Raw genomic sequence first — 16,481 nt, 5'->3', positions numbered from 1 at the left:
TCCGCTGAAAGCTGGGAAGAGAAAGTAGCGTAAGGGGAATGGTATGCTATCCTGAGACCTGAATGTGCAAAGGTCTCGAGATGGCAAGTATATGGTGCTGTGTGAAAAAAAATGATGCAAGGTCCAATATGCATGACAGAGGGCATAAAGGCAAGAATGGAAGAGATAAGCCTAGTAAAGCAAACAGAAACTACGCGGGTAAAACAAATGAGTTTAAGAACCACATTTCTCAACCCTTTAGATTATCACATATAGGTTTTAACAAAGTAGATCTTTTTTTTTTTTTTCTTAAGGAATCATGTTTGGAGTGCAAAAGGATAAAGGAAACACACTGATATTTCATTTTACAAAATTCATTGTTAAGCTTTTGTTAATATGTAATTTGCTTTAGTCCTGTTGCTCCATTAGAGTATTGACTTTGGAGCTCTGAAGACTTGGGTTAAAATCTTAGTTCTGATTTTTACTAGCTGCACGATGTTGAGCAAGTTCCTTAATCAGAATCTTTATTTTCTTTGTCCATTAAGGGGTAAGGGAGGATATGGGTATGAGCCCACTTACAGGGCTGGTATAAGTTAAAAAGACACATAAATATCTGCCAGTGTCCAGCACACGGTAGACTCTTGACATATGTTAATAATCCCCTTGAATGAAAGACCTATGGGGAAAAAATTCCTTTTGTAGTCCAGTTCTCAACCCAGGTGGCACATTAAAATCATGTGAGGAACTTCAAAAAACGTTGATGCCCAGTCTCCACATAATGTAATTGGTCTGGGATGAGGGTTGGGCATGGTATGATTTTTAAAAAGCTCAAGTGATTTCAACATGAAATGCAAGGTTAAAAACTGATGACCTGGCCAGGAAAGGCTAAATTTTTCACCCTCTGAAATCAAGGGATGTGTGTGTGTGTGTCAACAACACAAGCAAAACATGAAAACATGAGCTCCATGAAGAGAAAAACAACTGCAGGTCATAACAGACACTGACGAGAGCTGGCAATACACTTGGCTGACTTCTTAGATTCTATTTTTAATGTTAAGTCCACACTGGTTATGTAACAGTGGGGCTAATGGTTTTACATAATAAATCCTTTTGAATTTGTGAAACCTAGACTGCTGATTTTATAAAAATCTTGATTCTCATTTCTTTAGAAATTATTTCTATACAAATTTCTTCATATGGGAAAGCTTTTTTTTAAACAAGCTAGTTTTTTAAAGCAGTTTTTTTTTAATCCCCCATTCATTTTAAGGTTCGTTCACTTCTAAAAAAGGACTGTAAGAAAATTAACTTAGGCTAACACTGAAGATACATAACAGTTTGATAAAACTTAAGAATATACATATGAAACAGCTTATATTTTAGAATTATTTGTTTTTTGGGGATAGCAACTTTTAATTCAAATTTCCTTACTGTTGCACTTCTTAGTTACAGGTTTGCATTATCTAAGATTTAACCTTACTCCTCTGATGTTACTGAGTTGCTAATAATAACCAGTTAGCATTTCCTAGTATGTTTTTGTAAAATGTGAATAACTTACTCTTCTCTACTTCAGGAATATTTAGTTTCAGAAATCTAAACTCATTAGAAAAAACGTATGATGAAAGGATATATAAACTATCACATTTTTATGAGAAAAAATACTATATATAAATGTACAGTATTTTTGAAATAGTCATTTTAAAAGAGCTCTTTATATGGAATGTATCATGTGAAGTACACAATCATAGGAAAAGATGGACTGAGAATTAAAGACCTGGAACAAAGTACAAAGCATCAAAATGAAGATCTCCAGTAACTGGACAAACAGTGCCAATTATTTTTTTCCTAAACTGTGCTGGGCACACAATAAGCATCCAATTCCACTTATTATAAGATGATAGCTTTAAAGAGGTGTATGTGAAAAGAAGACAACTACTTTTTTAAGGATTATCATACAAAGAACAGAACTGAAGAGAAAAAAATTATAGATTTGAACTTAAGACTTAGCTTGAAAATTTTTGTTCTTTCCACATGTGCATTAATGTAATAGGCTGTTTGAACCTTTCGCATGGACCCCCCAATGCCTCTAGCATCATAATGAATTTTTATCTCTACATCCAAAGGATCTACCAACAATTTAAGGTATGGAGATAAAAGTCAGGGATCTCCAGGGATATACTGCCCTGCTTCTCTGATTATTTAGCTGGAAGAGAGGCAGTGGGAAGATGCTTGAATGGAAAATGAGCTAGAATCCTTCCTTCAATTTGATATGTTAATGCCATAAATCAGAGTTGCACAGGCACCTGCTTAGTGGATAGCTTACTGGAGCTTGTGTGACATCATATATATTTCCTTCTTTGCATATCTCTAAACAATTTTTTACTTTAATTATGTCAATAAACATCTTTGAAAGAAAGACTCAGATTTGTAGTTTTTCATTTTTGCTAGCAGTGAAGCCTAATGCTTCTTAGCAGCAATGAGCAACTTCATTTAAACTGATTACTCTGACTAAGGAAAGAAAAACAACAATAGTACTCTACTCAGTCTTCAGAGTCAAACCTCACAACAGTTGGAGCTAGTACACGGGTTAGGAATATGGGAGAAAGAAAAGACCTAATATGACAAATAAATCTGTAATTAACAGGGATCTGTTAGAATCAGAACAGTCCTGAGTATTACCTTACTAAAAAAGTTCAGATGCATAGGTTTTGAATGAAGTTTCTGATTATTCTGGTTCCAAATATGTTGAATTCAACAAATCACGTAAAAAGTTACTGTATTTTTAATGTTAAAAGGAAGTCTTCAAGTTTTTGGTACTGGTATGAGTTATCATTTGAATACTCTTCAGTGTTACTATATTTAGTCAGCTTTCCATATCCTCAGGCTCTGTATCCTTAGATTCAAACAACTTTGGATAGAAAATTTAAAAAACCAATAAATATCATAAAAAATAGTACAAATGAAAAAACAATATAACAACTACATAGCACAACGTAAGTGCTATGCAATCATATCTAATCATCTGGAGATTAAAGTATATGGGAGGATGTGCACAGGTTATATGCAAATACTGTGCTATTTTATATAAATAAGGGACTTGAGTATCTGTGGATTTTAATATTGGGGGATGGTGTTCTGGAACCAATCCACTGCAGATACCAAGGAAAGACTCTAACTAGAATTCATTTTATCATTTAAAAAAGTCAATACATATTATCTTGATACATAAAATCCTTGAGAGACCTGATATTCATAGATAAAGCTGCACAAGTATAATTGCTTTTATGAAAGTTCCTAGAAGCATCTTAGCCCAATATCAATCTATCAAGTATTAAATCACTTTACCAATTTCAATAAATGCCAAGACTGATATAATCTGGTCGTAAGTTGCTATCAAGTAAGTGGATAACTGAACACACAGGATAGCTCAGAAATTCACTATTGGGATAGGAAAACCACAGAAAAGCATGATAACTGGTTCATTCATTTATAAGGAGGAGAACCTTCATTAAATCTGCAAAGAATTTTCAGTTTTTAATCTAATCTGCCTTCCTAATCTTCCTGGTGATTGGAAACAGGTTAGGAATGGGAGGTAATGGAATAAACATGAGGATTTCTGTTTTTTAACCACTGTCATAAAAGCTTGGGAAAAAGATAAACCCCAAATCATCGAAGAACATTGTTTCCTTAAAGTGTTTTCAAAATAAATATGAGACCAATCTTCAGAACAATGCACAACTGTGGATAAGTTAAAACCTTTAGGAAGGGGGATAACTGGGATAACTCTTGAGTACTGTATAATCAAGAACCAGGAGAACTGACATGTTTCCAGTTTCCTGGCAAAAGAAAAAGTGTAGGAAGGTAGGGTTTGGCATTTTAACATTTTATCTAAAACTACGAAAATAGAAACAACAGTGCCAAACATATGACTGAAACAAACAAACAAAAAACCCAAATGTAAAACTCTAAAAATATGTGATCAATGTTTAATATTCTGAGGAATAAGTAACAAAATCAAGACAGATTTTTTACTTAGCTGGGTTAATTTCCTCTGAATTCTTCTAAGAGTTAAAAATGAACTATCACATTGATTGATTTAGAACCATCAGATTTTACTTCTGGAAAATCTATTACCTTTCAAAAAGTTATAATTTTAATGTTAGCACGAAAATTACTTCCTAACATTTCATTAAAATTTTGCAGCCAAAGATTCCTATTTTTGAATTACAGTACTGCAAGGCACATACAGAACTCACCTCCTTCAAAACCACAGAAGATATACTCCCTGAAATAGAATTTTAAAATCCTTGAACAATTAGAAATACTATAAAGTTAGCATTTTTTAGGTAAAAATGTTGCTCCTACAGGATCATGCAACTTTCTTAAAATCAATTCAGCACATATGTATAAAGAATCCTTTTTAAAAACATTTGTACTTGAAATACAGACACAGTGATGCTGAAGACACTAAACAAAAACTGAAAAGTACTATATCTTGATAAATTTTGTTATTGCCTTCTTTAGAGACTTTATAATCTCTAGTTGATTTTCAAGGACTTGAATTTAATAATGGGGTAATTACACAAGACGTAAAGGATTTTTTAAAAACAAGTATTTTTTTTTACCTCTAGCATCAATTCTTTTATAAAGAATGCTAAATAAATTACATTTTTTGTTCAGTAAAACTGAAGATAGACCATTTAAATGCTTCTACCAAATTTAACGCAGCTTAATTAGGGACCAGGTACATATTTTCTTCTGAACATTTTTGGTCAAGCATGTCTAACCATAAAAGCAAATGGAATTTTAAGAGGTAGATTTTTTTTTCCATGATGCATTTTGTTAATAAATGTGTCAAGAAAATAAAAACAAGCACTGAGTGTGTTCTCTTGAAGTATAAGGGTCTAATGAAAAATAAAAGATAGATATTTGTTATAGTCTGACATTTTAACAGTCATAGTATTAGACGTTTCGTGACCAGTGCATTTTGGACTCTCTCAGGATCAAAATACGAGTCTGCCAACTGTATTAAATCCTCCTCCACCCCCTCCACCAGTTGGTCCACAGCTTCCTGGTGGGTCGTTGTCATCAAATCCATTGGGCCGAAATGAACATGAAGCAGATGCAGCTTGGAGGGCCCGGGCTCGAGCATTCAACTCTTGTTCCTAAAATTAAAAATAACTTTTATGAAATTAAAATGCTAAATACAATGGATCGTTATATCACCTATAGAAATATTTTAAAACTACCTTAATCCTTATAAACATTCTTCAAATCTCAATAACTTTGAAACTAAAGCACCTAAGAAAAAAAAATTTCTCTAAGAAAATATTACAGTTCCTGCAACACTCTCTAAAACATACTGGAATAGATTCTTTTCTAATATATTTAACATAGAATTCAAAGATTATCACAATAGATTATCTATTCTCCAGCAATTGGGGCTATTTTGGAAGTGGGTGATTACAGTTAAATGTATGAATAAAGGAAGAAGACTGAATTTTTTTCTGGCCTTTCCATAGACTATTTCTCAATAAATAATAAAACAGGTCTCAAAGAACACTGACAAGTAAAATGAAGCCTAACTCCTCACAGTAATATCTAAAATGTTTCCTTATCAGGAAAACTTTTATCAGAAATCAGTCATATTTATCTAGATGCCAAGCATATGTTAGGTATTCAATAAATATTAATGATCTCAGATTAGAATACTATTAGGTGCTTAGCTTCAAAGGGAGCAAATATGAATAAATAATGGCAAATTCATTTGGCAAGGTATACAACTGGATTCTAAAACTGGGACCCACAAACTCTTTGGAAAAATATGCAAAATATTCTGGCATGTGCTTATTTTTCTGGGAGAGGATCTACAGATTTCAAATGGGGTTGGTAAAAATAAGGTCTAAAAGTTACTGGTCACAGCATACCTGAACTTGTTAGCATAATCGTCCTGAAGAGCTTTCAAAATACAGTTAACATTAATAACGAAAACACTATTATTTCGATTTTTCAACTTAAGGCCTAGTGATTTTGTTCCATCTGGCAAGGTAATACTATTTTATAATTTCTAGCTAAAATGGTTTAGTTTATTATTCTTCCCTCTTCACAAAATGCTCAATTTTTCGTTATGAAGAAAAGACCCAGGCATACCCTGACACCTATCTGTCATATTATAGATACTTTATTTTTCAGTAGCATGCAGCATCTTCTGTTCAAGTCCCAGTACACAAGATGATCAAGAATCACCTATTTTTATGGCTGAAAGGGACCTTTGATAAATCCTTGTAACAAAATGGCTTAACTAACCAGTCTGTTAGGACTTTTAAAACTTAATTTGCAGGATATTTCTTAAAAACATTTTTGTGATCTACAGTGTCATTTACAACATTTAAAATTGCTGGCTCTTTGGTATAATATCTACCTACAGAGTATTTTTAAGGTGATATATATATTAATTTATCCTTTGATCTATAAAATTAACGTAGGAATTATAAATGTTTTACAGATTGAAATTAAGTGCCATAAGTAACATCAGAAACAGACAGAAACCCCCCAACCAAAGATCCTCATTGTTCTAGCTCTATAACCTATTAAACTATCCAAACAAGCGATGAAACTATGACTCTGTATCTGAGAAACAATGCACGGTTTCAGATATATAGACAATGTTCTGTAACGAATTAAAACTGAACAAACATGTAAGGTAGAGTTCAAGAAGTTCTCCTTGAACTTCTGCTACTAAAAGATATGGCAAATCTTGCATAGACGTTTTTATACAGTGATTCCCTTATAGAAACTATGTCGAATGACATAAAATATAAAATTAGTAGCTCCATTGCATCTGTACCCATGAAACCTACATTATATTTCAAGATATACAACATCCCAAAAAAGTAATATACTTTTTCTGCTTTATTATTTATAGAAATATATGGCTGACAGAAAAAAATGTGTGGTATTCTGTTTTCTGATAAGCTTAGACAATGCATAAAAATAGGAAAAACTGTCTTTTATTTTACTTAATACAGGTAAGAACATTGTGTACAATGTCAAAATTATGATTATCATAGAATGTGTAATTTATATCACAAATTTATATCAAGTACTAAAGTTAATTCTAATTTCAGTAGTAGACTATAGATCTAGTCACAGGAAAGTTATTGCTCCTTGAGACAAATAATTTTCAGTATATTTATATTTCTCATTCAAGTAAAACTGTTGACATTAATCCTTTTATTTTTCTTTAAACTGCACATATATATTGAATATACTCTTCTGAATGTATGAAAAAGAAAATAATTAAGAAGTTAAGAAGAACTACTGCCTCCTCCAAAGAAACAAAGGAAAGAAACCAAGCAAGAAAAGATGGGAAGTGGTCTGTGGCTGATGCACGACAGATGGGTGGGTAATCTGGACCATACAATGATGATGCATTACACAATCTCTCACTGTATCCTAACCAAAGGCTTAGTTTTTATATTCCAGACATTAAAACAATGGAGATACTCCTAATGGAAGCTGGACTGAAGGGAAAGAAATATATGAAGGGGAAATAAATATATGAAGAGAAAAGTCCTTTCAAAAATTTACTTCGAGATCCACAATTTGCATTGTTTTCCCAAATGTCAGGCTATGATACACAGAGTAGAGAATGGTTTGTCACAAAAGATTTTTTGCCTGGGTTTTTCAAAACCACGGATCTTGCCAATACTCAAAAGAGCAACATTTTCTAACACTTGTAAATCTGGTTGTGGCTAGATTTAAAATTGAAAAATGAAATCCTAAAATGTAAAAATGAAATCCTAAAAAAAGCTTCTTAAAATTATCACAAGGTGAGTTTCTAATCTGATTATGAAGTATTAAAATGAAAGCAGCTACCCTGATATGTACTAAAATGGTAAATTCATTAGCAATATTGTTCAAGAGCAGAGGAACTCAAAATGTTCACTTCACATCCTTACTTTTACGATTTAAGTTTTTATAGCTGTTTTATAAAAAGGTATTATGCTATTTCTTATAGTCCAGACATAGTAATCTATTATAAAGCATGACATATATTTATAATAATTATATCTCAAAAATGGATATAAAAACAAAAATGATAGAATGAAAACACACATGTACATGCTCCAGGTGTTTAAGAAGTGATAGCTGAAAACTGCTGTATACATAATCTCAACGCTATAGTTTTCTATTGCCTGGCAATTATGAGCACATGTGCATCCACATAACAGAATAAAGAACGTAGTCTTTTAACATGTACTTAAAATACCAGAATGATCTGATTAAATGGTATGAAAAATTTCACAATTTGAGCCTTTATTAATCACTGTATTTAAAAGTAAACAGGCTGGGCACAGTGGCTCATGCCTGTAATCCTAGCACTTTGGGAGGCCAAGGTGGGCAGATCACTTGAGGCCAGGAATTTGAGACCAGCCTGGCCAACATGGTGAAACTCTGTCTCTACTAAAAATACAAAAAAATTTACCAGGCACGTTGGCGTATGCCTGTAATCCCAGCTACTTGGTTATCCGAGACCTGAGATTTGCTTGAACCCAGGAGTGGAGGTTACAGTGAGCCGAGATCACACCACTGCACTCCAGCCTGGGTGACAGAGCGAGACTCTGTGTCAATAAATAAATAAATAAATGTAAATAATCACAATCTAAATATAAGTTCCTAATTGAGTTGATTATTGGGCCACATGCAGTGGCCCAGCACTTTGGGAGGCCGAGGAGGGAGGATTGCTTGAGCCCAGGAGTTTGAGACTAGCCTGGGTAAAATAGCAAGACAATCTTTAAAAAATTTTTTTTAAAAAATTAGCCAGGCATGGTGACACATGCCTGTAGTCCTTAGCTACTCAGGAGGCTGAGGCAGGAGGATCACTTAAGCCCAGGAGTTCAAAGCTACAATAAACCATGATCACGGCACTGCACTTCAGCCTGGGTGACAGAATGAGACAGTCTCAAAAAAAAAAAAAATTGAATATTTATTATTGTATTTTTGCTTTAAAAGGGTACTCTGATAATGAAACTTTGATTTACTACCTAGTCTTAATACAGGTAAATACCTTAATATAAAATTTGGTGGTATCTTTTCTTGCATCAAACAACTTGTCAATATGAAACTTAAGATTGAATCTAGAACAACTGCACAAAACTGAAAAACTGAATTAACAAAATACATAATGCTTTTTCTTTATAATAAAGTAACATACGAGTCTTAAAATAATAATGAAAAGAACAGCTCCTCATGCTCAAATATTGTATAATCAGAAAGTAATGGGGTAAAAGGCAAGATAAACTGGAAAATCACTTGGAGCTAAGCTACAAACAAGTGGTTGCTATGGCTATACAAGCATTTGGGATTCTAATCACAGAAATGAGAGTAGTTTTTTATCTTTCAAAACCCATATTTCTCCTCTGACTAGTGTTTATATGATATCTAGTAAGAAGGACACAGTTGAATACATTCTATTTCTAGCATGTTGATCATAAGCCATCTGACTAGATGTTAGAGTCTTCAGTAGTTAATCAGTTCAAACAAATATTCTGATTTTCTATTTTTTTCTGTAAAGTTTATTGTTTTTGTCACTCAAGAACATCGCTATACTTCTTTAAAAATGTGTATTTTATAACGCAGTAAATTTGAAAGCTTTTGAGAAAATTTCCCTCTAAAAATCAGTACTATAGTGGCTCATTTCTTATTCTATCTGTATCTTTCAGGAGTGACTTTCAAACACAGAATTTTCAAAATGTACTCATTCAAACTCAAAATCACTTAGACTACCCAATTAATGTACCTAGAATTTCACCTGTAATTTACTGCTAGCCCTGTATGTTGAGAACAAATTAGCAAGTTTCAAAAACAAAAAAAAAATACTTTCAGCAAGAATTTTAACTTTTTATTAGCCTTTATTTAAGTAATAAAATCACTAACTCCTTGAAAAAAGTATATTTATGAATAAATTTATCTCATATAAAACCATTCCTTGGCTTCGATTTACAATTGTTCTATTATCTCCTTGGTTTTACTAACCACATCCTCAAAGAATATGAATATCCTTTCTTTACATAGTCTACATTTTAGTGTTTTTTAATCTTATCCACCTAAATATCAATAAACAGCCCTTAAAACATTTACACAAAAGTCTTGAGGGCATAAATACCACATTTAGCAGTTATTTCCTCTGGTGGGTGAGGCTGAGAGGAAGAGGGAGGATATGTCCACTTTTGTAAACTTTCTGTATTTTGTATGGCATGATTTCAGAATGAGCCATCTTTTGTAAGGAACAAATAAAGTCTTCTGCATTACATCTAATTGCCACTTTTCATTTAAATTGTCACAATATTAGAAAGGCAATTTAGTTATACAGGTTGAGAATACTTCATGTAAATCCAGACCTATATTTCAGAATTTAATAAAAACTCATGTTAGATTTCAAAATGAGGGTACTCATTTAACTGTGTCAATTGTTTAATATTTTCAACAAATAAAGCTTGTATTTCCAACTTACCTGTAAATATAGTTTATTGTCTTTTGTTATAGCATCCATAAGTTCTTTCTGTAGAGGTGGGTCTCCATTTATCCAGAGTCCACTGGTTGGGTTATTACCACTTAAACCATTAGTACTATGCTGTTTTTTATACAAAAGCACATAAGCTGTGTCCTTTGGAAACCTGCTCGTAATTTTCTGGACTGACTGAAATGAAGTAAATGTCACTCTACTGTCATTAAATAAAAACCATTCTTTTGACATTTCCTTATTTTCCAAATCCTGTTCAAAAACTGCACTGGGACTATCTCTCCCTAGTAAATGACTCTGGGAGGATGCTAATGCCAGAGCCTCAGACTGGTGGTACATCTGATATGAAGAGTCTGTACTTGTGATATTCCTGGCATAAGAATAGTAATGCCCACTTTCAGAGGATATACCAGAGTGAACCACAACGGAACTTAATAGATAGGGCACCAATTTTGTGCAGGAAGCTTCATCAGTCCCTGAAGGCTTTAATTTTTTAGCAAGGTTCTCACTAAGATCAGTGAAGTCAACATCTACAGACCAACTTTCTGACAATGAAGAGAAAGAAGTAATTCTTTTAACTGGCAACTCCAAAACCAGTGGCAGTGATACATTGTCTAAAATTTTCCTTCTCACATGATACTTCTGATCATATGAAAATCTCAGGAGAGTAAGAATAAGGTATTCAGGTTCCTCCGTGATTTGCATAGTTTTCTCAGCATTTTGCAGAGAGGCACAGTTTTCACAATAATATTGGTTATCACCAGTAAGAATCTCTGGAGCCAAAAAATAATTTAGTAAGTCAGTTACTGAAGGTGTGGTTTCACCTCCTGGTTTCTGAGGTACATCTTTATTAACAAGAATCTTGTTAGATTCGTTAGGGACAGAAGTGTTTTCAGAACAGTAAAACTCATTAGGAGGACTGCCTATGGTTTTTTCATTCACAAGTGAGTCACAGATGAAGGCAGCTGTTGTTGGATTATAAACTACTGGTTCTTCTGAAGGACCGGGTACAGAGGCTTGCATTAGACCACCATCTTGTATACTGGGTGATGATGCTGGATCTTGGACAGACATGTTTTCCAAAGAAGAGGAAGGACAAAAGGCAAGCGAAAGATCTGTAAAGGCTTCCACTTTTTGTGAGGTACTCCTGCAGTTCAAACAACGTATGTGAGTTCGTAGTTTTCCTCCAAACATTTTTTCTATTAAAGTCTTCTCACCGTCACTTGTACGAGGGGTCTCTGTTAGTACTGCTGCTTTACTAGCTACTTCCTGTAAAGAAGTTTCACTGCATTCCAGAATTTCAGAAGGCTTGTGTGAGGCCTGAACTTTCAAGATCTTTTCTTCTTCATGGAGCCTGCAGCAGAGGATATCATTATATAGCTACTTAAATTAACTTCAAATGTCATTTCTATTTAAAAATATTAGTGGCTTCTATAAACTATTCTAATCAAATTTAATGTAAACAAATCAGGTTTTTCCTGTTTTAATTAAAAGAAAATTGAACAGTTTTGAGAATGCAGAAAAAAAGCTGGGTGGCTATTACTACTCTATATTCTCATTACACTTTCTTCATACTGCTACTTAATAGCATGTATTACATTGCAGTTAATTATAAACGTCCCTTAACTGTCTTATATATCTCTGTCTTCCTGACATCTCATAGAAAGTCAGGCACAAATAAACTACTGAATAGATTCTTAGCTGAATGGAAGGAAGGCTGCACATACCAAGCCCAACTAACTTTACTAGTCATTCCACAGAGCAGAACAAAGACAGGGAGATACAGATGATAACAGGTTTTATTAATTAAGTGGTCAGGCGACAATAAAACATACCAAACCCATACAATTATGAACTGGTCTAAAGGAGTGGTTCTTAAATTTTTTGGTGCCAGGACCCCTTTATACTCTTAAAAATAATTAAAAAACAAAGAGCTTTCCTTTACATGGGTTGTATTTATTGATATTTACTGTCAGAACTGAGAAAATAAAATATTAACATTTAGCAAACAATAATAAACCCATTATTTAATATTAGTAACATTTTAAAAATGAAAAAGTTGTATTTTCTAAAACCAAAAAAAAGTAAGAATGGCAGTGTTTTACATTTTGCAAATATTTTAAGTATCTGGCTTAACAGAAGACAGCTGGAGCCTCATATCTTCTCTGCATTCTATTGTTATATGTTTTTTGGATGAAGCATATAAAGAAAATCTGGCCTCACACAGTTACGCTGTTGGAAAAGAGAAGACCTCACAGACTCCTGAAAGTGTTTTGGGAACCCGCAGGGGTCCTTGTTTCACACTTTGAGAACAGCTGGTCTCAAGGAAGAAAATTCAAAAAGGAAAATAAATTAAAAACAAAAGAAAATATAAAAAACATACAAGAAATGCAATAGTATTTTAAAGAGTAATATTTGAAATATGTTTTTAAAGGTAAAAGCAATATTAAGTAGAATTAAACTGTTATGAAAGACAACACTCAAATCACAATTTTAAGAATACTTTTTACCTGTCAAGGAGAAATCTGAGGTATTCAGAACAGTCTTGCTGTGATCTGGGAGTAAACCATGGAGGTCTGGAAGCCTCAAAGAATATCCGAGGTGCGTATGCTTCCCTCTTTTGAGAGCAATTGAGAAAATATAAGGAAGTGATTCTTATAGCATGAACCAAGTAACTGAAATCTTAATATACAGTGTTTAATAAAGGTTATTTACAGTTAACATTGCATCAGCCAAAAGTGCCGGACGTGGCAACTTAGGGACAGATAAAATTATTTAGAAATAAAGTTAGGTAATCTTTAGTCATAACTTCTCACTCTGCAGAGGAGAATTGAGAGCTAGAGAAACAGGTGACTTGCCCAGGGTCATACAGCTAAATGAGTAGCACAAGGCATTAAAGTAGAACCCATGTCTAACTCTTGATATAAAGCTCCTGGTATCATCCCTCTATGACAGTCATGTTTGAGTCCACAATTTTTTGAAAAATCAAATCTAAAAAAGATTAATGTATATTTTGTTAGTATATATTTTGAACAAAGTAATAAAGGAAATACTCTAGAGTCATGCATACCTACTTTAGGCAAAAATTTCCTTGAGCAGATACATGTCATATATGTGCAGATTGTGAGTACACTGGTTAGAAACCTTTGCTAATTTTTGTTTTAAAGTATAGAGGCTGCTTAGTGATTAAACTTTGGACTCTGGAGTGAACCAGGTTCAAATCCTAGATTTTGCCATGACAAAAAAGAACTGAAAAGGCATCTCGAAGATGTGATTGTAAGTTGAAACTTTGGAATTCTCTTGACATTTTGATTATTTGTGGCATAACTTCATAACAATGAAGTTCTCAGTTAAGAAAAATTTTACCCAAATTAAGGGTGTTTATAGCATTCTGAAGGAAGGAAGTTTAGCCTACATTAAACATGGGCTTCAGAGCTGTTTGGTTCATATCTCAACCCTGCTGCTTGCTTGCATGACCCTGAACAGGTAATGTAAGCCTGTTTTCTTCATCTGTAAAATGGGGATATACCTTATTACCTGACAGACTGTTTTTGATGATTAAGACATAAAAGATTTAGACCAGGGGTTAAAAAAAAGTAACTGTTCAATAAGTGTTGTTTTATTAATTATAAGAAAAAAGGACTTTTCAATTATATGGGAAAATCTATCTGCCTAAAATAATCTCTGTCAGGCTGCTACCAGAGACAGTCTCAACTGTGACAGAAATTTAATCAGGCTCTTTTAAATTTCTACTTTTCTTGGGAGGAGGAGGGAAACCTCCCCTAAGATTTTTTTTCCTAATAGCTCTGATTTAGTAAGTTAATAAAGTATATATCTGCCTACATATATATTTTATATATAATAAATACATACTAGTGATAAAGCACAAAAATCAATTTACTAGGAAACAACAGGGAGTGAGGAAGGAGATAGTTTTCATTTCGTTTCCCTTGGTCTTGATATGGTAAATTTAATTTGTGAACATACTTTCCCCAGATAAAGAATAATAAAAATATCTGAGTATATAACTACTCATAGGCCATTACTATCATCTCATATTAATCCTGTCTAGATTCTTTCCATTTAAGAAGTTATATTTGAGATATTTCTCAGCTTGTAGAAAGAAAACAAAAGCATTCCCATCAACTGAACCCCATCAATTCTCAACCTATTGTTTCTTCTGGTCCTAACTACTGCTCCTTTAGACCTCTGTGAGATAAAGGCAATGAAAGTAAAACCAGAAAAATAATAATATATATTATAAATAATGACATATATATTACTCATGTGTATAGGCTCAAAATCTAAACTAAAAGTTCTTTGAACATAAAGACTCTTTTTTTTTTTTGAGACAGGGGCTCACTCTGTTAGCTAGGCTGGAGTGCAGTGGCACGATCTCGGCTCACCGCAAGCTCCACCTCCTGGGTTCAAGCAATTCTCCTATCTCAGCCTCCTGAGTAGCTGGGATTACAGGCGTGTGCCACCATGCCTGGCTAATTTTTGTATTTTTAGTAGAGATGGGGTTTCACAATGTTGGCCAGGCTGGTCTCAAACTCCTGACCTCAAGTAATCTGCCTGCCTTGGCCTCCAAGTGTTAGGATTACAGGCGTGAGCCACTGCGCCTGGCCAAGACTCTTCTTTTAATGCTTATCACTGACTGCATATAGCGTCTCTTAATAAATGTCTGTTGAGTGAATATTTACTATATATGACCACCTTGGTGCCATTAACATAAATTAATGACCCCGGATTAATGTGTGGACATAAAAGATCACCACGAAATTTTAAGCTCTAGAACTTAACAGATAAACAGAACTGCAGAGATCTTTAGTTATAATGAATAGGTATACATAAGAAAAGAGAAAAAAGCCCAGGCACCACAATATTATTTTATTTGCTCATTATTGTACAAATCTACTAATTTAATATCAGGAAACAAAGATGCACTTAAAAATAATTCTTCATGAAGGAACTTATTTATTGGATAGGAAATCATATTTTCTTTGTAAAAATTTCTAGATCAATGGGTCAGCGTAATATTCAGCTACAATAATGGGAAGCAAGAGAAAAATATAAAAACTTAGGGCATATCCTGAAAATAAAAAAAATCTAGATATTTTAGGCAGGATCTCTTTAGCATTTCTAAGTGGATTTGTTATACTGGGTGAGATATCTATTATATTATTTCATCAGTTAAAAAGGTTAGGTATAAGGTAAAGTTTAATGAATATTACCACGCAGTTAACATAAACGTACTATATACACATACACACTCACCTGTGTATGGGCCAGAAAGGCAAAAAGATGCTGTAATTTTTTCATTAATGAATTGCACCCATTTAGATTTAAAGATAATACTTGTCTCCTGAAACTGAAAGAGAATATAATGATTTATATATATGTGCGTACAAACACATGCATTTATTAAAAGCTTTTTTTTTTTTTGAGACAGAGTTTCCTTTTGTTGCCCAGGCTGGAGGGCAGTGGCACAATCTCAGCTCACCGAAACCTCAAATGATCCACCCACCTCGGCCTCCCAAAGTGCTGGAATTACAGGCATAAGCCACTGTGCCTGGCCATTTAAAAGCATTTCTTAAAAGCTAAAAGCAAGTTAGTTCAAGAATTTATTATCCTTAAAGTAAAACTTCATTTACCTAATGGTCCTTTTCCTAAGGAAGTTATCTATCTAACAGTAAAGAAGGAAGGGAAGAATGACAATAAATTAACATTTACTATAAAGCCTGTTAATGGACTATGTGCTATCACATATTATTTCTATTTTCTGGATTAGCAAATACAAATAGGTTAAGCCATTAATTTATAAGATAAGTAAACTTAAATTCTTTCAAATCTTCATGAAATAAAAAAATATGCTGTCATTAAAACACACTATAAAATTAAAGTCATTTAAAGAATAGAGCGTGGGAAAAGGATAAACTACTCAAAAAAAAAAAAAAAGTAAAGGGACAGCTGGGTATCC

At 33.3% G+C, this 16,481-nt stretch overlaps 1 protein-coding gene across 4 annotated transcripts in view; it reads right to left on the bottom strand.

Moving 5' to 3' along the window:
* Window positions 1-1,561: 1,561 nt before the first annotated feature.
* USP38 (ubiquitin specific peptidase 38) overlaps window positions 1,562-16,481 on the bottom strand; it is a 38,958-nt gene continuing 24,038 nt past the window's right edge. For 3 of the 4 annotated variants that reach the window (NM_001290326.1, NM_032557.6, NM_001410848.1), the window contains 4 exons: window positions 15,779-15,872; window positions 13,012-13,118; window positions 10,493-11,855; window positions 1,562-5,141 (listed from right to left, as the gene is read on the bottom strand). In NM_001290326.1, coding sequence (NP_001277255.1) covers window positions 4,980-5,141; window positions 10,493-11,855; window positions 13,012-13,118; window positions 15,779-15,872 — 1,726 coding nt within the window. In that variant the 3' untranslated portion in view covers window positions 1,562-4,979. Of the gene's footprint in view, window positions 5,142-9,870; window positions 11,856-13,011; window positions 13,119-15,778; window positions 15,873-16,481 lie in introns of those variants that run through there. The other variant, NM_001290325.1, reaches the window with a different exon arrangement.

Source organism: Homo sapiens, chromosome 4 (genome assembly GCF_000001405.40).
Source record: "Homo sapiens chromosome 4, GRCh38.p14 Primary Assembly".
NCBI classification, from domain to species: domain Eukaryota; kingdom Metazoa; phylum Chordata; class Mammalia; order Primates; family Hominidae; genus Homo; species Homo sapiens.
The sequence above is the reverse complement of the archived record's forward strand: the minus strand, read 5'-3'. Positions and strand labels throughout refer to the sequence as shown.